Consider the following 27,349-nt stretch of genomic DNA (forward strand, 5'->3'; position numbering starts at 1 on the left):
AATGGAAACACATCCCATACTCATGGATGCAGGGTCGATATTGTGAAAACTACCATACTGCCAAAAACAATCTACAAATTCAATGCAATTCCCATCAAAATACCACCATCATTCTTCACAGGATTAGAAAAATAATTATAAAATTTATATTGAACCTAAAAAGAACCCACATAACCAGAGCAAGACTAAGAAAAACAAACAAACAAACAAAATCCCACAAATCTGGAGGCATCACATTACCTGATTTCAAACAATACTATAAGCCCATAATAACAAAAATAACATGGCACTGGTATAAAAATAGGCACATAGACCAATTGAACAGAATTGAGGACCCAGAAAGGAACCCAAATACTTACAGCCAACTGTTCTTCAACAAAGCAAACAAATATATAAAGTGGGGGAAGGACACCCTATTTAACAAATGGTGCTGGAATAATTGGCTGGCCAAGTGTAGGACAATGAAACTGCATCCTCATCTCTCACCTTATACAAAAATAAACTCAAGATGGATCAAGGATTTAAATCTAAGACCTGAAACTATAAAAATTCTGGAAGATAACATCAAAAAACCCTTCTAGACATTGGCATAGGCAAAGACTTCATGACCAAGAACCCAAAACACATGCAAAATAATAATAATTAATAAATAGATGGGACTTAATTAAACTAAAGCACTTTTGCACAGCAAAAGGAACAGCAGAGAGAGTAAACAGACAACCCACAGAGTGGGAGAAAATCTTCACAATCTACACATCTGACAAAGGACTAATATCTCAGAATCTACAGCGAACTCAAACAAATTAGCAAGAAATAAAACAAACAATCTCATCAAAAAGTGGGTTAAGGACATGAACAGACAATTCTCAAAAGAAGATATACAAAATGCCAACAAACATTAAAAAATGCTCAACATCACTAATGATCAGGGAAATGCAAATCAAAGCCACAATGCAATATCACCTTACTCCCGCAAGAATGGCTATAATCAAAAAATAATGGATGTTGCCATGGATGTGGTGAAAAGGTAACATTTCTACACTTCTGCTGGGAATGTAAACTAGCACAACCACTATGGAAAGCAGTGTGGAGATTCCTTAAAGAACTAAAAGTAGAACTACCATTTGATCCAGGAATCCCACTACTGGGTATCTACTCAGAGGAAAAGAAGTCATTATTCGAAAAAGATACTTGCACACACGTGTTTATAGCAGCACAATTTGCAATTGCAAAAATATGGAACCAGCTCAAATGCCTATCACTCAACGAGTGGATAAAGAGACTGTGGTATATATGTATACCATGGAATACTACTCAGCCATAAAAAGGAATGAATTAATGGCATTCGCAGCAACCTGCATGGGATTGCAGACTATTATTCTAAGTGAAGTAACTCAGGAATGGAAAGCCAAACATCATATGTTCTCACTCATAAGTGGGAGCTAAGCTGTGAGGATGTAAAGGCATAAGAATGATACAATGAACTTTGAGAACTGGGAGGCGGGGGAAGGGTGGGAAGGGGGTGAGAGATAGAAGGCTACAAATTGGGTTCAGTGTATATTGCTTGGTTGATGGGTGCACCAAAATCTCACAAATCACTGCTAAAGAACTTACTCATGTAACCAAATACCACCTGTTACCCAAAAGTTTCTGGAAAGGGTATTTAAAAAGAAAATTTTTAAAAAGAGAGAAAAGACCAAAGAAACAAAACAGTAGCAACTCACTCTAATTACTGTGGAAACAAACTGGAAATGGGGCTAGAGAAAAGAGGAAGAAGATCCGTGTAGCACCAGCTACTTGGGAGGCTAACATGCAGGGATCACCTGGGCGAGACCGGGAATTTATTTCAATGTTTATTATTTGAAGTGTGTCATTCATTATTTAGAAGTTTGATGATGTTTTTATGTCCAGAAGTATGCCAAAGGAAACTAATTCCTCTTTATATCAATTAGCCTGTGGTGGAATTGGTTTCCTTATGCTTAGAGTCAGAGTATCTAAGAACCTAGCGACCATTTTTAGTGAGGACTTAATGTACCCCTAAATTAGGTTTTCAGTTTGTTCACATCCTAAACTAAGCTGCAATCAGGTAGGGATTCAAGGAACAGAGGCAGCCTCAGATCAAATTTAGTTTAACAATAGATAAGATATTATAAGTTTCTATGTTTGTTATAGAAAAAATAAGTGGAAAAGAAGGTTTTTGAACACATGCCCTTAATAACAAGTATCTTATTTGGTTAAATGTAAACATAGTTTTTAACATTTGAAGAAAAACTATTATATAATTTTAAAATTGTACATAGTAAGGAAAATAGGCCCATAACTAATAATGAAAACAGGCTATTCCAAGAATGAAATGGCCCACAAAGAGGGGCAGGTGAGGGTTAAGAAGTAAAGGGTTAAGAAAACAGGGTGGGCCGGGCGCAATGATTCATGCCTGTAATCCCAGCACTTCAGGACGCTGAGGTGGGAGGATCACCTGAGGTCAGGAGTTCAACACCAGCCTGGCCAATGGGGTGAAAGCCCGTTTCTACTAAAGGTACAAAAATTATCTGGACGTGGTGGTGCACACCTGTAATCCCAGCTAAAGGGAGGCTGAAGCAGAATTGCTTGAATCTGGGAGGTGGAGGTTGCAGTGAGCAGAGATCACACCACTGCACTCAAGCTGGGCAACAGAGCGAGACTCTGCCTCAAAAAAAAAGAAAAAATAATAGGGGGTATAATAGATGGAGGGGGGAGAGAGTAGGGAGATGAAGGTAAAACTAGGGATGCCAGAGGCAAGAATAGAATTATATTTTAGAACAGGGAGTCCCCAGCAAACTCATTTGTAAAATGAGAGTTGATTGAAGTAAATCAACTCTAAGATTCTATCTTATACTAAAGCTCCTTTATTTTGTTAAGGTGTAAATTGACAGTAAAAAGAAAATGCAAAAGGATTTAGGAAAAGATTGGCTCAGGCTGGGCTGGAGTCATTGAATTAGACGTCAGTGAGCAATGTAGCACTCGAAATCCTGACCCTTCCTCTTCAGAAATGCATGGCAATCAGCTCTTCCCACTGATTAAAATTTTGGCTCTTAGAGGAAAATTTTGTATGAATAGTTAGGCTGTGATGTTCTTGTGGATATTAAGTTACATATCACACTTGAGTTTTCAAAAAAAAAAGAGCTTCTGCACAGCAAAAACAAAAACAAAACAAAACAAAACAAAAACTATCAATAAACAGAAAACCTGCAGAATGGGAGAAAATATTTGCAAACTATGCAACTGAAAAAGGTCTAATATCCAGTATCTATAAGGAACTTAAACAAGTCACAAGAGAAAAATAACCCCATTTAAAAATGAGCAAATATGAACAAACGCATTTCCAAAGAAGACATACATGTGGCCAACAAGCATACAAAAAAAAAGGTCGACATTATTGATCATTAGAGAAATGCAAATTGAAACCACAATGAGATATCATCTCATACTAGTCAGAATTAAAAACTCAAAAAATAACAGATGCTCATGAGGATGCAGGGAAAAGGGAACACTTATACACCTTTGGTCAGAGTGTAAATTAGTTCAACCACTGGGAAAAGTAGTATGGTGATTCTTCAGATAACTAAAAGTAGAGCTACCATTTGACCCAGCAATCCCATTACTGGGCATATACCCAGAGAAATATAAATTATTCTACATAAAGACACATATACGTGAACATTCACTGTAGCACTGTTCACAATAGCAAAGACATGGAATCAACCTAAATGACCATCAATGACACATTGGATAAATAAAATGTGGTACAAACACACCTTGGAATACTATGCAGCCATAAAAAAGAATAAGATCATGTCTTTTGAGGGAACCTGGATAGAGCTGGAGACTATTATCCTTAGCAAACTAACATAGGAACAGAAAACCAAGTACCACATGTTCTCACTTATAAGTGGGAGCTAAATAATGAGAACTTATGATCACAAAAGAAGGAAAAAACAGACACTGGGTCTGCTTAAGGGTGGAGTGTAGAGGAAGAGAGGAGGAGGGAGAGGAGCAGAAAAGATAACTATTGGGTACTGGGCTTAATATGTGGCTGATAAAATAATCTGTACAACAAACCCCCATGACACGAGTTTACCTACGTAACAAACCTTCATATGTACCCCTAAACCAAAAATAAATGTTAAAAAAAGAAAGTATTTAAGAATTCATGAAAACAAAAAATCAACATACCAAAACTCATGGGATAGCAAAGGTAATGCTAAGGGTGAAACATATAGCTATAAATATATACATTTAAAAACAAGATAAACCTCAGAAGAACAATCTAACTTACAAATTAAGGAGCTAATAAAGAAGAAATAACTAAATCCAAAGCCAGCAGAAAGAAGGAAATAATAAAGATTAGAGAGAGATAAATGAAATAGAGACTAGAAAAACAATTGTGAATATCAGTGAAACAAAAAGCCACTTTTTCAAAAAGATCAACAAAGTTGAAAAATCTTTAGCTGGATTGACTAAGAAAAAAAGGAGAAGACTAAAAGAAATATAATCAGAAATGACATAAGAAGGGACATTACACTTGATACCACAGGAATTCAAAGGATAGTAAGAAAATACCATGAATAATTATATGTCTAAATTTGGATAACTTACATTAAATGGACAAGTTTCTAGAAACACACAACCTACTAAGACTAAATCAAGAAGAAATATAAAATCCAAATTGACCTATTTACTAAGGAGATTGAATCAATAATAAATTTTCCAACAAAAGGAAAATCCTGGACCTGATGGCTTCACTGGTGAATTCTACCACACATTTAAAGAAGAACTAACACCAATTCTTCTCAAAATTTTCCAAAAATTTGAAGATAAAATACGTTCTAACTCATTCTATAAGGCTAGCATTTCCCTGAAAACAAAGCCAGACAAAAACACTAAAAGAAAATAAAACTACAAGCCAATATCCCTTATAAACATTATGACAAAAACCCTCCACAAAATGCTAGCAAACTCAATTCAGCAGCCTATGCAAAGGATTACATACGACGACCAGATGGGATTTACTTCTGGAATACAACTATGATTCAACATATGAAAACTGATCCATGTAATAAACCACATTAGTGAAATGAAGGAAAAACAAAAAGCTGTAGGACGATTACTACAAAGCTATAGTCATCGAAACCCCCACCCAAATACCCAGTGATATTGACATCAACTCCACAGCACTATAGAAAATATAGTGGGTGTAAGAACTAGAAGCATGAACTTGAGAAGCAGACAGCCTGAGTCCAACCCCTTTTGCTGGACACATTAATGGAAAAACTGTCAAAAGAGTGTGGTACCAACAAACATATAGGCCCATGGAATAGAACAGAGAAAATAGGACCAGAAATATGTCCTCACATATATGTGTTTTAGTTGACAAAATACCATAGACTGGGTGGCTTATAAACAACAGAAATTATTTTTCATACTTCTGGAGGCTGGGAAGTCCAAGATCAAGTTCTCATCATCAGATTTGGTATCTGGTGAGGGCTTTCTACCTGGTTCAGAGATGGCCATCTTTTTGCTACATCCTCACATAGTGGAAGAGACAAGGGATCTCTTTTATAAAAGCATTAATCCCATCCATGAAGGCTCTAGCCTCATGACCTAATCACTTCCCAAAGGCTCATCTCCTAATGCTATCACCTTGGGGTTAGGGTTTCAACATATGAATTTTGGGAGGACATAAAACATTCAGTCTAATGCATATGGTCAATTGATATTTTACAAGGATGCCAAGACCATTCAAATGGGGAAAGGACATTCTTTTCAACAAATTATACTGGGAAAACTGGATACCTACATGCAAAAGAATGAAGTTGGATCTTACCTAACTCCCCAAAAAATAATTAACTCAAAATGGATCAAAGACCTAAACATAAGACCTAAAACTATAAAACTCTTAAAAGAAAACATAAAGCAAAAGCTATGATTTGGCAATGATTTCTTGACTATGATACCAAAGGCATAGACAATAAAATTAAAAAAAGACAAACTGGACTTTATGAAACTTTTTTAAATGTTGTGCATCAAAAGACACTATTAACAGAGTAAAAAGGCAAACCACAAAACAGGCAGAAATGTTTGCAAATTAGATATCTGATAAGGGACTAATACCTAGAATATAGACAGAACTCTTTCTTTTTTTTTTCCAGATGGAGTCTCGTTCTGTCGCCCAGGCTGGACTGCAGTGGCGCAATCTCGGCTCACTGCAAGCTCCGCCTCCCGGGTTCACGCCATTCTCCTGCCTCAGCCTCCCCAGTAGCTGGGACTAGAGGCGCCCACCACCACGCCCAGCTAATTTTTTTGTATTTTCAGTAGAGACAGGGTTTCACTGTGTTAGCCAGGATGGTCTCCATCTTCTGACCTCATGATCCACCCGCCTTGGCCTCCCAAAGTGCTGGGATTACAGGCGTGAGCCACTGCGCCCGGTCGACAGAGCTCTTAAAACTCAACAAAAAAAAAACAAACAACCTGTCTCACAAATGGGCAAAGAACTTGAAGCGGCATTTTTCCAAAGAATATAAGCAAGTGGTCAATAGAGTGAAAAAATGCCCAACCTCACTAATCATTACAGAAATGCAAATCGAAAACAGATGAGATACCATCTCATATACATTAGGATGGCTACTATAAAAAAATCACAATGAAACAAAAGTAACAAGTGTTGACAAGAATGCAGAAAAATTAGAACTCCCGTGCACTGTTAGTGGGAATGTAAAAGAGCATAGCCACTGTGGAAAACAGTATAGCAGTTCCTCAAAAAATTAAAAATAGAATTAGCATATGATCCAGCAATTCCACTTTTTAATATAAAATCAAAAGAATTGAAAGCAAGGTCTCAAAAAGATACTTGTACACCCATGTTCATAGCAGCATTATTCACAACTGCTAAAACATGTAAGCAATCCAAGTGTCCACTGACAAATGAATGGATAAGCAAAATGTCGTACATACATACAATGCATCCCATTCAGCCTTAAAAAGGAAGGAAATTCTGGTATGAATGAATCTGATGGACATTATGCTAGACGAAATAAGCCAGTCACGAAAAGATGAATACTGTATGATTCCAGTTGCATGAGATACCTAGAGTCATCACAATCAAACACAGAAAGTAGAATAGTGGTTGCTGTCAGAAGTGGGTAATTGGAAGTTATTAATGGTCACAGAGTTTTAGTTTTATAAGATGAAAAGAGTTCTGGAGATAAATGGTGGTGACGGTTGCACAATAATAAGAATGTACTTAATACCACAGAACTGTACCCTTAAAATGCTTAAGATGGCAAATTTTATGTTATGTGTATTTGCTACAGAAGAATTAAAATTGAAAAATATAAATATGACTAAAATTAATAAAGCAAGTTAGAATTTCCATGAGGCATTAAGAAAAAAATTAGATGATTATAGCAGCAAGATTGCCCAGGTAAATAATACGAAAAGGTAAGTCAGTGTATCAGGAAAGACAGAAGGGACTTTGCCTTGCATACAACATACTATGTTAATGTAATATTTGCAGCAACAGCTATGTTCCAGAAGACTTTCTAAAGTTCTGGAGTCTGGGGCAACAAAACAGTGAAGAACTGGTGCACCAACTTGGTATAGATGAAATCCAACAATTTTACAAACATTTACTAGTCAGATAATATAAACCTGGCACTATTCTAGGACCCCCCCCCATATCTGCAAAGTATGGTAAAAATTGTTAATTCAAAGAAAAATTAAAATCTGTAATCACCAACCAAACAAATAAGAGTCGCGTCTAATTGATACGATACTCTTCAAAAATAGTAACCAGTGAAAGAAACAAAATGCTGGAGTGAAGCAGAGAGGGTCATTACTGCCTGGCTCCACAGAGCCCCTTTCCTTCAAACCCCTCCATAACCCTCCAGAGGTTTTATTTTGAGTTGACAAAATTCTGAGAATTATCAATGATGTGACACATAGAGAAAAGAAAACTCAGTAGGCAGATCATTATTTTCTTCCTAAATGCAATGGAGACAAGTGACGCCAGGGAAGAGCACTCTAGAGCTGACTCTTTAAGAATGGAAGGAGGCTCCCAGGCCACCCAGAGATCAAATTATAATGGGGTCTCCTGCAGGAGAAGTATAGACTCTCCAACCAGGGAATTAACATGGAACAAGGCATTGCACAAAAATCTCAGAGGAAAGAGCAGAGACAAGTTATTCAGACTGCAGGGCATCTTGGTCAAGTCCTGTGCTCCCTCTGTCACTCCCTCAGGCTAAGAAAGTAAAGCTGAACACAAAATTCTTAGCCCTCAGACGAGGGGAAATAAATCTCAGATATTGTTGGAACACAAGTAGTCACTCCCACTCTGTCTGCCCAGAGCCATGCAAACAACATCAAGATGGAGAAAATGGCCCAGAGACTATGCAAATATATTAGATACTGTATTAGTCAGAGTTTTCCAGAGAAACAGAACCAACAGGATGTGTGTGGAGAAAGAGGGATTGATTTTAAGAAACTGGCTCACAAATTGTGGAGGCTGGCAAATCTAAAATGCACACAGCTGTCTGGCAGGCTGAAAATTCCAGCAAGAAGTTGATGTCTTCAGGTCTTAAGTCCCAAGGCAGTCTGGAAACAGAATTCCTTCATCCTCAAGGGACCTCAGTCTTTTTCTCTTAAGACCCTCAACTGATTGGATGAAGCCCACCCACATCATGGAAGGTAATGACTTTCCGCAAAGTCTACTGATTGAAATATTAATAACATCTAAAAAAAAACTTCACAAGAACATGTAGATGTATATAATCAAATAATTCAGCATCATAGCCTAATCAAAGTGACATAAAAAATTAAGTATCACACACAAACATGAGGGTGCACATACACATATCCATCTAGAATAATAATCTAGAAGAAGAATAATAGTTAACATTCAATGCATGTGCTAGGTACTGTTTTTTGTTTGTTTGTTTGTCTGTTTGTTTGTTTTTGAGATGAAGTTTTGCTTTTGTTGCCCAGGCTGGAGTGCAATGGCTTAATCTCGGCTCACTGCAACCTCTGTCTCCTGGGTTCAAGCGATTTTCCTGCCTCAGCCTCCTGAGTAGCTGGGATTGCAGGTGCCCACCACCATGCCCAGCTAATTTTTGTATATTTCATAGAGACAGGGTTTCACTGAGTTGACCAAGCTGGTCTTGAACTTCTGACCTCGGGTGATCCACCTGCCTCGGCCTCCCAAAGTGTGGGGATTACAGGTGTGAGCCACCGCGCCTGGCCCTTAGGTACTGTTCTTTACGTTTCACATGTATTTACTCATTTAATCCCCATAGCAAAACTTATGAGGTAGATAATGTTTATTTTTGTATTTAACAGACTAGAAAACTGAGGCAGAGAGTGCTTGAGTAACTTATGCAAGACTACATGCTAGCAAATGGCTAAGCCGGTAAAGATTGGCAGAGTTTGCTCAAAACTCATGCATTTTACCACTGAACTAGAAGAAAATGCAACTCAGGAAATAGAATGCAATTCCCCCGCTTCACTCTAAGAAGGCCTTAAGAACATTAGTTCAATAAAATAAGAGCATACTAATAGAATAATTTAAAAATTAAATGAGATGATAAAGGAAATGACCAGTCTAGAGAACAAATTTTGGACTATGCAACACGATTATGGAAATGATAACTAAATTAGAAAATGCAAGGCACAGAATAGACAAAAGTCGTTGCTGGCAGAAAAGAACTGAGATAATCTGAATGAATGCAGATAAAAAAGACAAAGAATTAAAGCAAATTTGGGAGAATATTATAGACATGAAATATAATATATATTATAGTATTATATATATGAGAATCCAAAGAAAATTTTCATAATATTATTGAAGTAAAAATTCCACTTCAAGATATATTCAAAGACATTATACAATAGAATTTCTCTAAAATGAAGGATAATAATTTAATATATTAAAGAGCAAGTCCCTACTTATACAAAACAAAAAAAGTTCATGATACTCCAAGAAAATTAGAGGTAGTATGCTCAATAATATTTCTTAGCTGAACTATTGAATGTCAAGGATAAAGAAAAAATTCTTCAGATATTGAAACAGAAAAGCAGGGAAAAACTGTATCACTTCAGAATTATCAATAACACTCAATTCCACAAGACAATAAAGCAATGTCCATAAAGTTCTGTGAAAATTTAATCTAAAAATATTATAATTAATCAAGATGTCATTTGAGCATAGAAACCACTAACAGACATTCACTAGCATGAAAGAACTCAGGAAATGCAATACACATTATTTCTTCTTGGAGAAGAAAAATTTTCTTGACAATGACATCCAGTCAAATAAAAGATGATTAAAAATAAATTTAAGAATGGCAAAGTGAGATTAAAAGAACTGGTAATGAACAAGGAATGTATTTAAACATACAGTGAAAGTAGACAACTAATAAAAGTATGGTAGCAATACTGAATGTGAATGTTATAAACTTGAACAATGTAAACTAATTATGTAACTGCAAAAATTGGGAAATAGGGGAAAGGGAAAGTGGGAAGAAATTTAAGAGTGCTAACATCCTCATCTTTCAAAATTAGGGAATTGATATTATATAAATATATATTTTTAATGTTACAAATTAATACTAGCCTCTACATGTTTATCTCTAAACCTTGCTTTTTTTAACTTTATTTAGGTTTGAGAGTACATGTGGAGGTTTGTTACATAGGTAAACACGTGTCACGGTGGTTTGTTGTACCTATTATTTCATCACCCACATATTAAGCCCTGTACCCAGTAGTTTTCTGCTCCTCTCCCTCCTCCCACCCTCCCCCCTCAAGCAGACACCAGTGTCTGTTATTTCCTTCTTTGTGTTCATAAGTTTGTATCATTTAGCTCCCTCTTATAAATGAGAATCTGTGGTATTTGGTTTTCTGTTCCTGCATTAGTTTGCTAAGGATAATGACCTCCAGCTCCATCCAGATTCCCACAAAAGACATGATCTTGTTCTTTTCTATGGCTACATAGTATTCCATGGTGTGTATGTACTACATTTTCTTTATCCGATCTGTCATTGATGTCCATTTAGGTTGATTGCATATCTTTGCTATTGTCAACAGTGCTGCAATGAACCTCTTGGCATATACCCAAATGAATAAACCCTGCTTTTTTAGCACTAGTCAGTTCTTTTATGAAAAAAAATCCTGTGGTGAACAAACATTCTTCACTTTAGTTTTGTTTTTCTTCTACTGATATCAAATAAAATATAAATAACTATCTTTTGTTAAAAATAGTTACTAGGGTCTTATCCTATTTTCATAACTTTTATTTGTCTATTGCTCTATCCTTCTAATTGTATAAAATGCATACAAAGTACAATGCATACATTGTACGAAATGCATAAAATATTTTTATAAAAACAATCAGGTGACTTTTTCCCTTTAAAAATTGTAAGCAGGCTGGGCGTGGTGGCTCACATCTGTAATCCCAGCATTTTGGGAGGCCAAGGGGGGCGGATCACTTGAAGTCAGGAGTTCTAGACCAGCCTGGCCAACATGGTGAAGCCCCATCTCTACTAAAAATACAAAAATTTGCCAGGCATGTTGGTGGATGCCTGTAATCCCAGCTACTCGGGAGGCTGAGGAGAATTGCTTGAACCCTGGAGGCACAGATTGCAGTGAGCTGAGATCATGCCACTGCACTCCAACCTGAAAGACAGAGCAAGACTCTGTCTCAAAAAACAATAATAATTATACATAAATAAGTAAATATTATAAGCAGTATACCAAGATGTTAACAGTGGTTCCTTTTGAGTGATGAGAAAATGGACAATAGTAATTTTTTTTTTACTTTTGTCCGGGTTTTTAATTTATGTTGCAAATTTAATTTGCAACATAAAAAATGAGGTATTAATGAATTACTTGTTCACCAGTCTACTAATCATGAATTTAGCATGCATTAAACATATGTACTTTATTAATATGTATTTTTTCATAAACTTATCCTAGGAAATAAAACAGGTAATAAAGAATGCAAATATCTCAACCTCTACAATGTTCAAAGGGAAAGTGTGCAAAACGTGCATGTCTTAGTAGGATCCCTAAGTTAGCAATTAATGAATGATGTGGGGAATGTGGGAAATGTATTCTTGGATATACCTTTTATCTCATTATTGTTTACTACTCAATTCTGTGAAATAACCTCTATTTTATGTACTATGGCACATTTACAACATACAGCATCTGAATAAAATTATACAACTGGTTATACAGAACTAGCAGTTTAGATATTATAAAGTAGCTGTCTTGTTACCTCATAAACCATAAACCACATTAGTATCTGAGAAATTAAAAAAATTTCTAAAATGTCCCACTTCAGGTATAGAATTTTACAAGATTTAGGGGGAAATTATCACATCGTTTCTTATATTAAAATAACAACAATAGCAATATAAGCCTAAACCAAAAACCTAAAAAGAAATGGTTACTAGACATAAGAGAGCAGAGAGATAGGGACTGAAGGTACACTTCTTTCAATACATAATGTTTTTTGTTTGTTTGTTTGTTTTTGAGACAGATTCTAGCTCTGTTGCCCAGGCTGAGTGCAGTGGCATCTTGGCTCGCTGCAAACTCCACCTCTCGCGTTCAAGCAATTAACCTGCCTCAGCCTCCCAAGTAGCTGGGATTACAGGCGCCCGCCATCACGCCCAGCTAATTTTTGTATTTTTAGTAGACACGGGGTTTCACTGTATTGGCCAGGCTGGTCTCAAACTCATCACCTTGTGATCCACCCACCCCGGCCTCCCAAAGTGCTGGGATTACAAGCGTGAGCCATCACGCCCGGCCACATAATGTTTTTAATATTTGAGTTTAGAACCATGTATTTTACATAATTCTAAACTTACTTTTAAAAAATGATCCCTATAACTTGAGCAGAATGAGAAAATGAATCTACCTGTGTAAGAGTTGGTAGCATAACCATACAAAGAACTTGTAAAGAGACTTTATAACACAGTAATATGACCGAACATACCTGGTGTGATATGCTCTAAAGATTAAAAAAGAACAAAACTGCAAACAAAAACTCTTAATCTGTTTCCAGTAATGATATTGTTGATCATATTGGCACCATGTATTGGGATAAAGCTAATGAATAATCATGTTGATGTCATTTGGAGTATGGAAAAAGAGATGCAAAAGGTTAATTAAAAACTCTATGAGATCCTGATTTGAAAAGAAAGTCGGTATACATTCATGATTATAGATACACACACACACACACACACAGAGAGACACACACACACACATTGTTCTCAGCTCTGTCTGCTGAAAAGGTCTTGAAGCAATGAAGAACTCACTAACAACGTGTAAAAATAAAGCCCAGTTTATGATCTCTAATGGTCATTTTCAATTCTAAAATTAGGGCCCCTTAAAGGCAGATTTCGGGTCAGAAGCAAAACGTATATAACTTTGACCCGAAACATTTTGTCATACCAAAAACAAGAAAAAGCCATCAAAGCCTATTGGCATAAAGTCTCAGGAGTCACTTTGAAGAGTCACCTGCAGGCCAAGAATAGGTCTGAACTTCAATTAGAAGAATGCCTGCCATGGATTGAAATATAGTTGGCCCCCTGTATCCATGGGTTCTGCATCTATAGATTTAACCAAACATAGGTCATAAATATTTAGAAAAAAATGCATCCGTGCTAAACACATACAGACTTTTTCCCTTTGTGTTATTCCCCACATAATACAGTATAACAACTATTTACACTGCCTTTATATTATATTAAGTATCATAAGTAATCTAGAGATTATTTAAAATATATGAGACGATGTGCATAGGTTATATTCAAATACCACACCATTTTGCATCAGGGACTTGAGCATCCACAGGTTTTGATACCTACAGGAGGTCCTACAGCCAATCCCCTATGCATACTGAGTGATGACTGTATGTCAAATGTGTTTAAATCCAGGAAGTCATAATAATCCTAATTTTTTAAAGTGGGTCTTATTAAAAGGTGTTAATTTACCAATTCATTATTTTCAAAATTGGTAGAGAGACATAATCAAGCATTTATCCCATCTTTCCTATATTAATAATGCTTTAGAATAACTAGTTGCTGAGAAACATGAAAGAAACAAGTCTGCCTACCAGACAAATAATGAATGATAAAATCAACATAGCACTGTTTTGAAAATACTAATGAATTAATAGATCTAGAAAATGATAGTCAATGGCTGCTAACAACTCAAAAGGAGAAACAACCACATATCATGTGCTTCCTACCAGAACAACACAACACATGTGAAGTAGTCTCATCAAAAAAAAAAAAAAAGAAAAAGAAAAGGAAAAAGAAAAAAATGTACAGAGGATCAAACTTCTAGATACAACTACCAATTAACAGGAAATAATCGAAACAGAGAAACAAGTTAAAAGGCAATCAGCAAAGTCCAGAATGCGGTACACTCTCCTGACCTGTCTTATCAATAAACTACAATAGAGAGAGAAAGAGAGAGCGAATTACAGATTCAGGGAGATTTAAGAAACATGCAGTAGAAGGAATGTTCGTGTCCCTCCAAAATGCATGTGTTGAAATCGTAACCCCTAAGGTTATGGTATTAGGAAGTGGGGTCTTTGGAAGATAATTAGATCATGATGGTGCAGCTCTTATGAATGAGATCAGTGCCCCGATAAAAGGGACTTTGAAGAGCTCTCTCATTCTTTCCTGCCATGTGAGGATATAACAAGGAGACAATATGACAGTCTGTAACCTGGAAGAGGGCCTTAAACACAACCAGACCATGCTGACACCACGATCTCAGACTTCCAACCTTCGAAACTGTGAGAAATAAATTTCTGTTGTTTACGTCACCCAGACCATGGTACTTTCTTACAGCAGCCTGAACTAACAAAACCAATTGTAATGTATGGACTTCATTATAATTCTGATTTCAAGTAGTAAACTGTGTGGGCCGGAATTAGGAAGCAATGAGAAATATTTGAATGCTAACTGGATATTTAATGTAAGGAATTATTTTATGTTGTTTTAGGTGGGATAATGGCGTGGATATGTTTTTATTTTTTTTAATTCCTACCTTTATACAGACATGCTGAAATATTTACAGTTGAAATGATTAACTGTCTGGGATTTTTTTCAAAATAATCTCAGTGCAGAGGAAACTGGAAGGGTTGTAGATGAAACTTGGAAGTGGATGTTTCTCTCTACTTTTGGATATGCTTATAATTTTCCATATAAAAGTTCTGAAAACGGAAAATAAAATGCTCACATTGTGAGGCTAAGGCCAAAAGAAATCAGAGATGCATGAGAATTTCCAAATTCAGGATTATTTAAGAACAACATAGAGAAAAAAATACTTCTGGTTTGAGTTGCAAAAATTTATTTCTTTTATGCAATATACTAAAAAATCATAATTAATTGAAAAATATAATACTTCATATGTAAAGGGGAGAAAACTACTCCACCAAAGATGTCACATCTTTTAATTCATTTGGAGATCAAAGAAATGTGTCTGCCAGGCAACCAAGGGCTCATGGAAAGGTGTGGTTTCTGTACAAATGCTATTTGTCTAATATTTTGTGCTGTTAATGACTGTCCCATTAGCATCTTCACTACACTTACTTTCATAGAAAGGAGAAACATGATTTATAGAGCCCTTTAGTGACAAGGGTGAGGATCCTACACACTATGTTGCTGGTTTCCTAGTCTTCAGCAAGAAAGTGTAGGAGAGAAGCAAAAAACGTCCTGTTCAACCCCTGCTCCTGGATGTGGCAAGGAAGAGGAGTTACCCGGCTTGAAACAAAAGAAATCCTAAGTCTGACACACAATGTCATGTTTAAATTCCCCTTTCTCCAAAATGTAAAATAAATCTGCTTCCATCTTCTAAAATACTATGGGACTAAACATCCTTTTGTTATGCTAAGGAAAAGCCAGTATTCGCGTTGATTTAGAAGAGGGATGTTCTGGTTATAGAACGATGCTGTGTCTCAGAAACACTTAAATACTATTAAGCTAGAAATAGAAGGGAAAATAATGCTTCCCCGCATCTCCCCTCAAGTGTAGTCCTCTTTTTTTAGCCTGATTTCCGACGAAATGTCTGAATGCCTACAGTTATTTGGCCATCCTGAAAAGTGCAACTTATCCTGACGTCTCGAGGGACGGAAAAGTTACCGAAGTCCAAGGAATGAGTCACTTTGCTCAAATTTGATGAGTAATATCAGGTGTCATGAAACCCAGTTTCGAAGGAGAGGGGAGGGGGCGTCAGATCTGCAGACGGAAGCAGGCCGCTCCGGATTGGATGGCGAGACCTCGATTTTCCTAAAATTGCGTCATTTAGAACCCAATTGGGTCCAGATGTTATGGGCATCGACGAGTTACCGTCTCGGAAACTCTCAATCACGCAAGCGAAAGGAGAGGAGGCGGCTAATTAAATATTGAGCAGAAAGTCGCGTGGGGAGAATGTCACGTGGGTCTGGAGGCTCAAGGAGGCTGGGATAAATACCGCAAGGCACTGAGCAGGCGAAAGAGCGCGCTCGGACCTCCTTCCCGGCGGCAGCTACCGAGAGTGCGGAGCGACCAGCGTGCGCTCGGAGGAACCAGAGAAACTCAGCACCCCGCGGGACTGTCCGTCGCAGTAAGTGCCCGCGCGGTGCTGGCCGCGGCTGCCCGGGTCACCCCGCCCCGCATCTGTCCGAGGTGGCCGCGCTGGGGGCGCCGCTGCGGCGAGGGACAGTGGGGAGACTGGCTTCCCAAACGCCAACGCCCCTCTTTGTCTTCCACCTGCAGAGTTTCCTGGTTTGAAGGTGTGGGTTGGTGGGTTAGGGGGCTGGGGGAGTTGGGATTCAGGGAGAAGAGGGTTGGAGAATCTTTGGGACGCGATTCTCTCGCCTAACCGGTACAGGTGAGACTTCAGTCCTTATGTTTTTGATCTTGGTTCATCCGTTGTGGGGCAGAAAATTCTGTTGCTTTAACTCTTGGATAACCACCCCTAATAGATACATTATTTCTCTCTTTGGTGTCTTCTCCTCCTACCCCTTCCCAGAAATCCAACATGAAAATCCTCGTGGCCTTGGCAGTCTTTTTTCTTGTCTCCACTCAGCTGTTTGCAGAAGAAATAGGAGCCAATGATGATCTGAATTACTGGTCCGACTGGTACGACAGCGACCAGATCAAGGTGAGGCCCCTTCCCAGGACGGCCCGCACCCTTCTTCCTGGGCTCGGGAGCTGTCACCTTCCCACGCAACAGCACCCTAGTTAACGTGGCACGCACCGCCACCACGGAAAGAGGCAGCGGTTGCGTGCGAGAGGATGGAAAGGGGCACTATTTCCCGGGTTCCCCACGGGATTTTGTGCCCACGATTCAAGTTTCTTCCCGAGGGCTGCACCGTCCGGCCCAGGAACTCCCTGCAGTAGGGATGCCCTCCCGGATGAGCCCGAGATCCTCACAAGGCGGGAAATCTCGTAAGATTTCATCCCCCAGGACCTGGGATTTCGGGGGCTCCGGTCCAGCTGCACTGCCCTAGCGTCTGGGCACGGGCAGAGGAGGGCGCCTGGGTCGCGGGCAGCAGCGGGCACACGCGCGAGCTGCAGGGGGATTGGAGGGCCGGAGGCTGGAGGGAAGTTAATTTCCTGCCTTCACGTTTGTTTTGCGGACCTGAGGATGTAGCTTGAAGTCTCCCTTTAGAAACTCGTAGGCTACAGGCGCTGGGGAGCGCGCCTCGGAAAAACGGTGAAAGTCGTCTGTAAAGCGTTGTCACCCTTCCCCACCGGAGCCCCAGCCCCAGATCCCACACACCTGTGTGCATTTAGGGCGGTGAGGACTCTACAAAGCCGGCACCGAGACAAGACAAAGTCAGGTGGCGGCGCAGCAGATGAGGGAAGGTCCCCGGGCTGGGAGGAAAGAGCGGAAAGCGCTCGAAGCTTGAAGACGCCGAGCCAGCTGCTAACTCGCCCTGGCAGGCTTGCGGGGGGCGGGACGCGAGTTCGGCGGGGAGGGGCGCAGAGAGGCAGCGCCTCGGGAGGGACCCCGCTCAGCCCGAGCGTGGGGAAGGCCGCCTCCCCACGCCTCGGGGCCGGAGTACAGCGGGGGGAAGGGCTCGGGTTGCTGGGTGCCTCGCTCTGGTTGCCTTACACGCCCTTTGTCCGTGCTTTTGTCTCCCAGGAGGAACTGCCGGAGCCCTTTGAGCATCTTCTGCAGAGAATCGCCCGGAGACCCAAGCCTCAGCAGTTCTTTGGATTAATGGGCAAACGGGATGCTGGTGAGATAGGCGACCGTCCCTAGGTGTCTTGGGCAGCCCGCCCTGTCTGCTCACTCCTTCCTGGAGTACCCCAGGGTCTCTCGCTCTGAATAGAGATTTCCACTCCAAGAGGGGTGTAATTCCCCAGGCGCGACATTGGCCCACACCGCACTAAGGCACGCACGGGCCCGCGGGGGGAGGGAAAGATCTGGTTCGCATGCCTCACTGTATTCGAGTGAAGCGCTCCCTTGACTAAAGATCCAAACTGACAAAGGGAAGGCACGGGCCTCCAGGGGTAGTACTGCGGATGATCCAAGTGCATGTGGAAGAGGATTTTATAGCATTCCCTGAGGTGAGAGTACATTTGTCTTGGGATAGAAATATCGTTTCCTTGAATTCATCGCACGGTCAGTGGAACATGTAGTTAATGACAATTCGTCTCTTGTCAGATTCCTCAATTGAAAAACAAGTGGCCCTGTTAAAGGCTCTTTATGGTAAACATTCCTATAAATCTTTATTTTACTATTGTGAAAGCACATGTAGGAAAGTGAAATAAAATCTTTTATGGGCTGAAATACAAGATCTGGGTCATGCCTGTTTAATAAAGAGATGGATTTGCGCACTCTCTCTCGGTTTCTCTCTCTCTCTGTCACTCTCTCTGTCTCTCTCTCTCTGTCACTCTCTCTCAGTCTCTCTCTCTCTCTTTCTCTCTCTCTCTCAGTGGGTGGCCAGCCTTGAAGGTGGGATGTGTTACAGTCTTATAGTTAATAAGAGGCCTCAGAAGTCTCATAGTCCTAGGTTTGAATCCCATAGAAGGCACTTAATAAAAATTCCATTTGTTTGTTTAAATATTTAGTTTTTATGATTAATAATTTGTTTAGCATTTATGGTTCTGCTTTATTCCTCAGGATAATATATAGATAGAAAATGTTACATATTTTGAGAATCAAATTATTTTATAAAAGATATAATGTAGCATCTTTAAAAACAAATCTATATGTGTTTGCTAATTTTATCTTTCTTCTAGGACATGGCCAGATCTCTCACAAAAGTAAGTTCAAAATTATTTTGACATTTATCAAATTTAAATGTAAAATTATATTGAATTTCACTTTATTTATCTTACCTTATTTTCTGTCATGACTCTAGGGCTTAATATGTTTAATGAAGACAATATAAGAATGGGGGAGATTCATATTACATCCAGAATATGGTTGTTTAGACATATTGTACTTAGCAAAGAGATGCATTATATTAAAAAAGAAAAAAATGTCTTTTAAGTCCCTTCAATTGTTAGTTTTAGAGAAGAATTTCAATCCTAGGATTAGAAATCTACCATACATATTTCTTCCCAGCCACCCACCCCCTAAGCTTACTTTCACTGTAAACAAACAAACAAACAAACACGAAACCCCCACAAGCATTTATAGGCATCTCCTAACTCATTTTAGTATGCTTGGTCCAATAATGATGTCATTTATTAGGGTCATCCAGCAGCCAATTAAATGGAATGAGTGAGTGAACATGAGTAGAGAATCCATACTAAAAATGAAGACGGTAGAGATGCAGTTTTTTAATCCCCTAATTGAATGGGAAAACTCGATCAGTAAAACATTTCTTAGGGCAGCAAAGATGGCAAAATTGTGGTATGTGAAGGTCATTAAATTTGTTTCTCAGTTAATGGAACCGGAGTTGACAAGAAGTGGAAAGGGTCTATCTTCATCGTATTGTCCACTCACCTATTGTACCCTGTCATGGATTTGGTTCATTGGGTGGCAGAGCAGGCCACATTAACGTAGCAGCTCTATTCTCAACTATTAAAATAAAAACCAAGAGAAATTCTCTCACTAGCATTAAAATAGTAACCTTTCCAAAGAGTTCATCTTTGAAAAATAAATAGTATTCATATTTACTTTCTAAGGATTTGACTTTGAAGAGAATTATATATAAAAATTCTATGTAATAAAAAATGTACTCTGTTCATGTGAAAACTAATAAACTTTTCTGAAAGGAGTATCTTTTAATATCCAATAAAATAAAAACAGTGACCTTTTAGAAGATTATAATCATCAAGGAAAGGAATCTGGTTTAATTAAGGTCTACTTGCTGAGAAGTACAACTTATTAATAACACAAGGAATTATGCTTGGATATTTCACTCTCACACAAATGTGAAATTGACTTCCTAAAAAATCAAACCTAGCTCAAATAACAATATTTTATATAAAATATTTTAGACCCTTACATAACAGATAAAATATATGAATAGAGAGTGCTTGCTAATATTAAATATAGAATTAAGAAAAGTGGTTTCATTGTATTGTTTTAGTGTAATTTATAAAACTTTTAAGGAATCTTTATTTCTTCAGTCTCACCAAAACTTGAAGTAGATAGATATTTATTATACAGACATATATTCAGAAGCTTGCTTTGTTCTGGTTATAATAGTTTGTTTCCTCAAAGATATACATATTAAAATACCCCTAAATGTATTTTTCCAGGACATAAAACAGATTCCTTTGTTGGACTAATGGGCAAAAGAGCTTTAAATTCTGGTATGTATGAAATTATGACTGAAAATAGACAGTATCTCAAATCTATTTCTATTTTTTCTAAGACATAGTTTTAAAATATTAAAAAGGAGTGGTAGATATAAAAATGAGTATTATGGTGGAAAAATTTAATTGTTGTACTTGTAACCACAAATGGATTTATAGCTGGTTAAGCTAATACTACCACAGTATCTGTCTATTTCTCTCCAATCACCATTCTTACCAGTGTCTGCCCCATTTAATCATTACCAACCTGAATCTTTGGGTTAGTGCTATATTCTTTCCTATAGATCTGTTAAATAAGCCGTGTTTAACCTTACTGAACTAAGGGGGAGTGGGGAGTGCAGGGAAGAATGAGGGTGATTTTCACTTGTTATCAAAGTAATTTGAAAGTTTTACAAGACATTACATTTGGCGATCTTCCAATACAAAAATAAATTCACAAAACAAATTCTTTATGCAAATTAATCACTTTTTATGAAGTTGTAGAAATTCAAAATCTAAACATCCTGATGGATGTTGGAGAGGACAAAAGTGATACGGTTTATTCCAGTACTTTCAAAAAGGAACACAATTAAATATCCTTGAGTGTTATAAATTGGTTCTGGCTATAAACTCCTTAGAGAGAAAGGATGCCACAATTCTCATTTTAATTCTGAACAACTTTTTCGTATGATATAAAGGCTGCAGGTTTCCTTCTCTTCAATTTCCATCTTCTTTGTAAATACCACGTACATATATCTGAAAACCATTATTAGTTAACTCATTCATCACACTGATTTCAATGTAAATAACCCCTAGATCATTTTAATAGAAGCTCACTTTTTGTTAAGACCTTATAGCTCTTACCTCTAGGGCTTCTTGGAAAAGCTATTCAAATTCTATTTTGCCTTCAGTGAAAATAGAATTAAAATACTAAATACGTTATTAATTATAAAGTAATCAGCAGCTGTCTTACCCATTTAGAATATTTCCAGTTTCTAGACAATCTATAAGATGTGCTGGCTTAATCCTTAATTATCTGGATCCTAGGAAAAATAATTATCCTAGTGTTTTTTAATGGAGATTTTTTTCTTTATTGTGAAATGTAAGACTTGGGTACATTAAATAAAACCACTTTCTGTGGGGCAAAAATCAAAACGCGCAATAGAAAAAAAAAGTTAACACAATCTGGGCTACGGCAGAAGCCAGAGAATATATTCATATAATTGAAAAGTTCTAAGTGTTTCATAATTGACCTTTTGATACAAAATTTCCAATAAATCTGGAATTTGAAGTTCTTGGTGAAGTCCACAGGACTTCCTAGTGTTCTTATTGGGTCCCCACTTTCTATTTAGACACTACCTTTGCATCTTCTCACCAGTCATTTTGGGCTGCCGAAGTGTAAAAGTGTAAGAAATTATCAATGTGCCTTAATGAAAAACTTGTAATTGTTTTATTAATATGTATTATCTTCCCACTTTTGGAAATGAAATATAAATTTAAACCACAATGGCTTTTATTTGTACCAATACATACTAGTCCTCACTTAATTGTAGTTTTCTTGATAATCATATTAGTCATCAACTTTCCATTTCCAGAATTGATATAGGTTTCAGAACATGCTTAACTTTACAAATGTAGATATTGTACAAGTTAGAACAGATTAAATACAATTAAATGTACTTAAAATAATAACATAATTTTAAGTAGTGATAAAAATCACTGTAGTGAATCAGGATCAATTTATAACTAAATCTTTGTTCCTCCATTTTAGTTAAGGAAATATAAATAGGTGAAATGTGGAAAAAAATGTGATATGATCCACAGTCAATCAGGGATCTTTTTATGTACCTCATTGAGGCAAGGTTATCATAGCCTTAATCTATAGCCCTCTGATCTTTACCCACTCATGGTCAGGGACCCCTTTGACAATCTGATAAATCTAGATAGATGCCCTTTCCCAGAGAAACCCTCATCAGCTCATACACTCAAAAATTTATATCAGGCTTCAGAGGGTTCAAAGACCAGGTAAGAAACTCTGCTTCCATGTAAGAGGACATTATGTTCCAGCTAAATCACTGTCTGTCTTTAGTTGGTTTACATTAGCTTTCATCTAATTTCTCTGAGGAATAGAGTCATGTTACCTAAAGCTTGTCAGAGACTGAACTTGGGCCATTCATCCTGTTCCTAATATAATCAAACCAGAATGAGAAATAAACTGTTTCCTTCCCTCACGCCTGTCCAGTGTTGGCTCAGACTGTTCTGCCTCACAAGTGCATACTTAATTGATGTAAAATATGCAGCTTATTGTTAACCGCACTTAAAGGATAGCTGGGTGTTTAAGACCAGTATTAAAAGAGGGAAGTGATAATACTGGTGCCTTTACCTGTCTTCTCTGTCAGCAAATCTTCTCACTGAGGAAACTGTTTAGAGTAGCACTTATTATTCCTACAGATCCTTCACAGATCTTTCTACTCTTTCTGTTTACATTCAGTATTTTATACAGGCCATACTGAATTTCAAAAAGCATAGTAGTTCCACTATACCATACGTCTAAGTCTATAAGGTATTCGTTAAGGATGAAAAATATCCCAAAATACTTTTATTGCAACAGTCTGATTTTTACCCCTTTGTGGTTACAGATCCCTTTGAAATTATATATAATAAATATAATATAATATAATATACAATTTTGGCATTTTTTTGTCCAGATAATCAATGTATTTAAATTACTTGCTAGCTATATGTTAAATACCTTTGGAAGCAATAATTAATGCTTCACAGGCCATTAAGGTGCTAGTGAAAAGTTAAACAGTATGGTATTTAGATGGCTCAACTGACTTACCTATGGTAAATGGGCTGTTTTTAGTCTTGAGGGCAGTCCATCACTGGGAGGTATCCACAAGGTAGGAAGAGACCCCTACACAATTAGATGCCCCTTGAACAAAGATCAGCAAACTTTTCCTGAAAAGAAACAGATTATAAATATTTTAGGCTTTGTGAGCCATGTAATCTCTGTTGCAACTACCCAAATCTGTTATTTTAGGCCAAAGCAGCCATAGACAATATGTAAATGAATGAGTGTGTCTGTATTCCTATAAACCTCTTTACAAGAACAAATGGTATTCTAGATTTGGCCCATGGTCTCTGCTAGAATAAAAGTCCCACATTTGGTTTTTATCCTACTAGTATTCCTGGTTATTTTAGGCATTGTCCTTTCTAGAATTCACTATGGGTATCTGCCACTGCTTGAGAAAGCTGCTGAGAATCAACACTGCAATATATTGTGGAAATATGCTTTGGGGGCACCAAGTATATGATGAATGATGAATGAAACCGAGTTCTGTGGTTAGATCATTTCCAATCAGAATAGAGACTGAGGCAGGATTGGAAGATGTGCAGATAACATTCTTAGAAATACTTCTGTAGAGGGAAAATGTCATTATGAGTTTAAAATAAATTACTATATGCCCTGAACTTTAGTTGTGTAACTCCCTCAGTGAATTCACTTAAAAAACACTTTATCTCTTCTTTGTTTTCAGTGGCTTATGAAAGGAGTGCAATGCAGAATTATGAAAGAAGACGTTAATAAACTACCTAACATTATTTATTCAGCTTCATTTGTGTCAATGGGCAATGACAGGTAAATTAAGACATGCACTATGAGGAATAATTATTTATTTAATAACAATTGTTTGGGGTTGAAAATTCAAAAAGTGTTTATTTTTCATATTGTGCCAATATGTATTGTAAACATGTGTTTTAATTCCAATATGATGACTCCCTTAAAATAGAAATAAGTGGTTATTTCTCAACAAAGCACAGTGTTAAATGAAATTGTAAAACCTGTCAATGATACAGTCCCTAAAGAAAAAAAATCATTGCTTTGAAGCAGTTGTGTCAGCTACTGCGGAAAAGGAAGGAAACTCCTGACAGTCTTGTGCTTTTCCTATTTGTTTTCATGGTGAAAATGTACTGAGATTTTGGTATTACACTGTATTTGTATCTCTGAAGCATGTTTCATGTTTTGTGACTATATAGAGATGTTTTTAAAAGTTTCAATGTGATTCTAATGTCTTCATTTCATTGTATGATGTGTTGTGATAGCTAACATTTTAAATAAAAGAAAAAATATCTTGAAGATTTTTGTCACATGTCTTTTATTAACATTTATGTCCAATTAGCAATCTTTCCTTTAATAGGTGAAATAGGTTCAAAGCGGTTTTGTCTAAAATGCAGTTTCTCTGTCATGCACTTTTTTTGCTAAATCACTTGTCATGAGATCATTTATGAAGAACACAATTGCATTTTGCATTCCAAAGAGTAAAGGCTAAGTTCTGGTTTTATATGCTTTTAATTCCTTTTTACAAATAGGATAATAATCTATTTCAAAGATATATTTCACTGATTATTTTCTTGTTGAGTAAAACATCAGCTCACTACCATTTCAGCCCTGCTCAGAGCCCAGGTATAAATGCATCAGTGCCTGAGTCTCACTAGCATTAAGATAGCAAATCAAATTCTCACAAAGATTGTCGGAAGATGATACAGGAAGATGAGGTGTTGATAATAGGGCAACACCCTCACAGCAAAAATAAGAACTCCTTTCCAGCATTTCTAAGAAGTGCCTGTGAATTGCTAATACCTATAACACTCTCTCTGTCTGATAGAAGCACATGCGTCAGGAATAAATACCAAGCATTGAGAGGGAGGCTTGTGCATTTTGATTGATAAGTGTCCTTGGAATCATTTTCTGATTGCATAGAGCATGTGAAGTATTGACCAGTGGTGAAACAATGCAGACAAGCACTGTTCAGTGAAGTAAAAAAAATGAATTTAGCCTGGACTGGTGACTGTTGGTGAGCAATAAAACCATTTGTAGGAGAGAAGAGCTAAAGCATATTTTAACATACATATTTTCAATTAAATGTTTTTTTAAAAAACTCCAACTCATATTCCTTAGTACACAATACATCTAAATATGAAAAATTATATAATGGTAAGCAAAATGGAGAAAACCAGAGTCATCCCCTAGAGCCCCACTCCCCAACAGCAATGTTTAACATTCCATTGAATAATAATTATAATAAATAATCATTAGCTAAAATTATATATGTACTTAATCACTCAATGACAAAAATAATCGTCATTATTATCATTTTACAGATGGGGTTATGAAGCTTAACAAAATGCTGGGGTCAGAGATTATAATAGGAGTCAGGATTGGAAATAAACTGAGGGGGAAATAGAGCAAATATCTAACAATGAAATTGATTAAGCAAACGTACTAAAACAACAGAATATTATACAGTCATTTAAAGCAGCATCATGGTGTATTTAATAATGTGGAACATATATGGTATGTTGTTAGACATAAAGCAGTATTTGTTATATATATATTTACATATGTATTTACACATATATATATAGTTTTTCTGCATAGCTGTTGTAACAAGAGGAACAATTTTAGTGGATAAGCACATGGGACTCAATGTCATACTACTCAGGTTTGAATCTTGGCTCTATCACATTATGAATGGCCTTGTAAAGATGGGCGAGTCCCTTAACTTTTCTTTGCCTTATTTTCCTCATCAGTAAAATTAGAATAACACTAGTACTCACTACATGGCATTCAGCTGAGGGTTGAGTGAAATGATGCCTGTAAAGCTTTGAACACACTCTCTCACACACAGCGAGCATTCAGTGAATGTTACCTGTTCCCATTTTAAGCTACTGTTCAAAATGCCAGTGTGAAAATTAGTTCTATATTTTAGCCATAAAAAATGTTTATAGTCACTAGACACACTGAACAAGCAACAGCATGGGGTGGTATTTAAATCTTTGCTTCACAAATTAAATCCAGGCTATATCACAAATTTGCAGTGCTTTGTGCTGTTCATTGCTGCACTAAATAGTCCCCGTGGCTCCTTCCCACTCTGAAATTCTATAAATCTCTGTGGTATGATCCCACAGTGCTACATAAAGACATGCATTGGCGGAACTTCACTCATGCCTGCTTTCCCTCTAGGCCCAGAAACCCAGTAGCAACACAAATAGGAAAAGGGACAGAAACTTCAGTTTAAGTTTCTGCTCAAACAATTTATTATTACTTTCTCTTTGTGCTATATTTCCTTTAAAGTAAGTTTTCTTCACCTATATTCTTTCTTATTGTATTCTGTTATGAAACAGCAAAAAGACCAAACTATATAAACTTACCTGTATACATTATTGCTTTGGTTTTTGTTTGTTTTGTTTTTGTTTCTGCATTGGTCAGGGCCCAGGGCAAAAATAAATTATTTTCAAGCTAATTTGAGAAGGGGTTAATAAAGGGACTAGTTACAAAGTTATGGGCAGCATGTAGAGAAGCTAGTAATGGTATATGGTTCTCCATGCTATGTCCTTGGGAGCAACAGCTACCCCTATGCCAGAAGGATCAACGTGAAGAAATGAGGGTCCCTGTATGCAAAAGGCTGCTTGATGGCAGTTGCCTTCAGTAAAAGAGTGGAGCCAAAACAAGGTGTTCAAGTATGGATGGGAGGAGGAGAGTGGGGTGACCAGGTAAT

General features: G+C 37.4%; 1 protein-coding gene across 4 annotated transcripts, besides 1 other annotated feature; it reads left to right on the forward strand.

The window, feature by feature from the left end:
* Window positions 15,700-16,899: an enhancer, noted in NCBI's record as "BRD4-independent group 4 enhancer chr7:97360557-97361756 (GRCh37/hg19 assembly coordinates)". NCBI's record gives its function as "activates an origin of replication core promoter dependent on BRD2, P300/CBP, MED14 and CDK7 cofactors, and independent of BRD4, by STARR-seq in HCT116 cells {active_cell/tissue: HCT116}" and the evidence as "EXISTENCE:reporter gene assay evidence [ECO:0000049][PMID:35650434]".
* Window positions 16,541-24,927, forward strand: TAC1 (tachykinin precursor 1). Of its 4 annotated transcripts, NM_003182.3 has the most exons (7): window positions 16,541-16,650; window positions 17,059-17,190; window positions 18,178-18,274; window positions 18,703-18,747; window positions 19,281-19,304; window positions 20,754-20,807; window positions 24,329-24,927. In NM_003182.3, exons 2-7 carry the CDS (start codon window positions 17,068-17,070, stop codon window positions 24,373-24,375), a joined length of 390 nt encoding a protein of 129 aa, NP_003173.1. In that variant the 5' UTR covers window positions 16,541-16,650; window positions 17,059-17,067; the 3' UTR covers window positions 24,376-24,927. The 4 variants fall into 4 exon arrangements, with proteins under 4 accessions (NP_003173.1, NP_054702.1, NP_054703.1 ...); NM_013996.3 differs by lacking the exon at window positions 20,754-20,807; NM_013997.3 differs by lacking the exon at window positions 18,703-18,747.
* The last annotated feature ends 2,422 nt before the right edge of the window (window positions 24,928-27,349 follow it).

Source organism: Homo sapiens, chromosome 7 (assembly GCF_000001405.40).
Source record: "Homo sapiens chromosome 7, GRCh38.p14 Primary Assembly".
Taxonomy (NCBI): domain Eukaryota; kingdom Metazoa; phylum Chordata; class Mammalia; order Primates; family Hominidae; genus Homo; species Homo sapiens.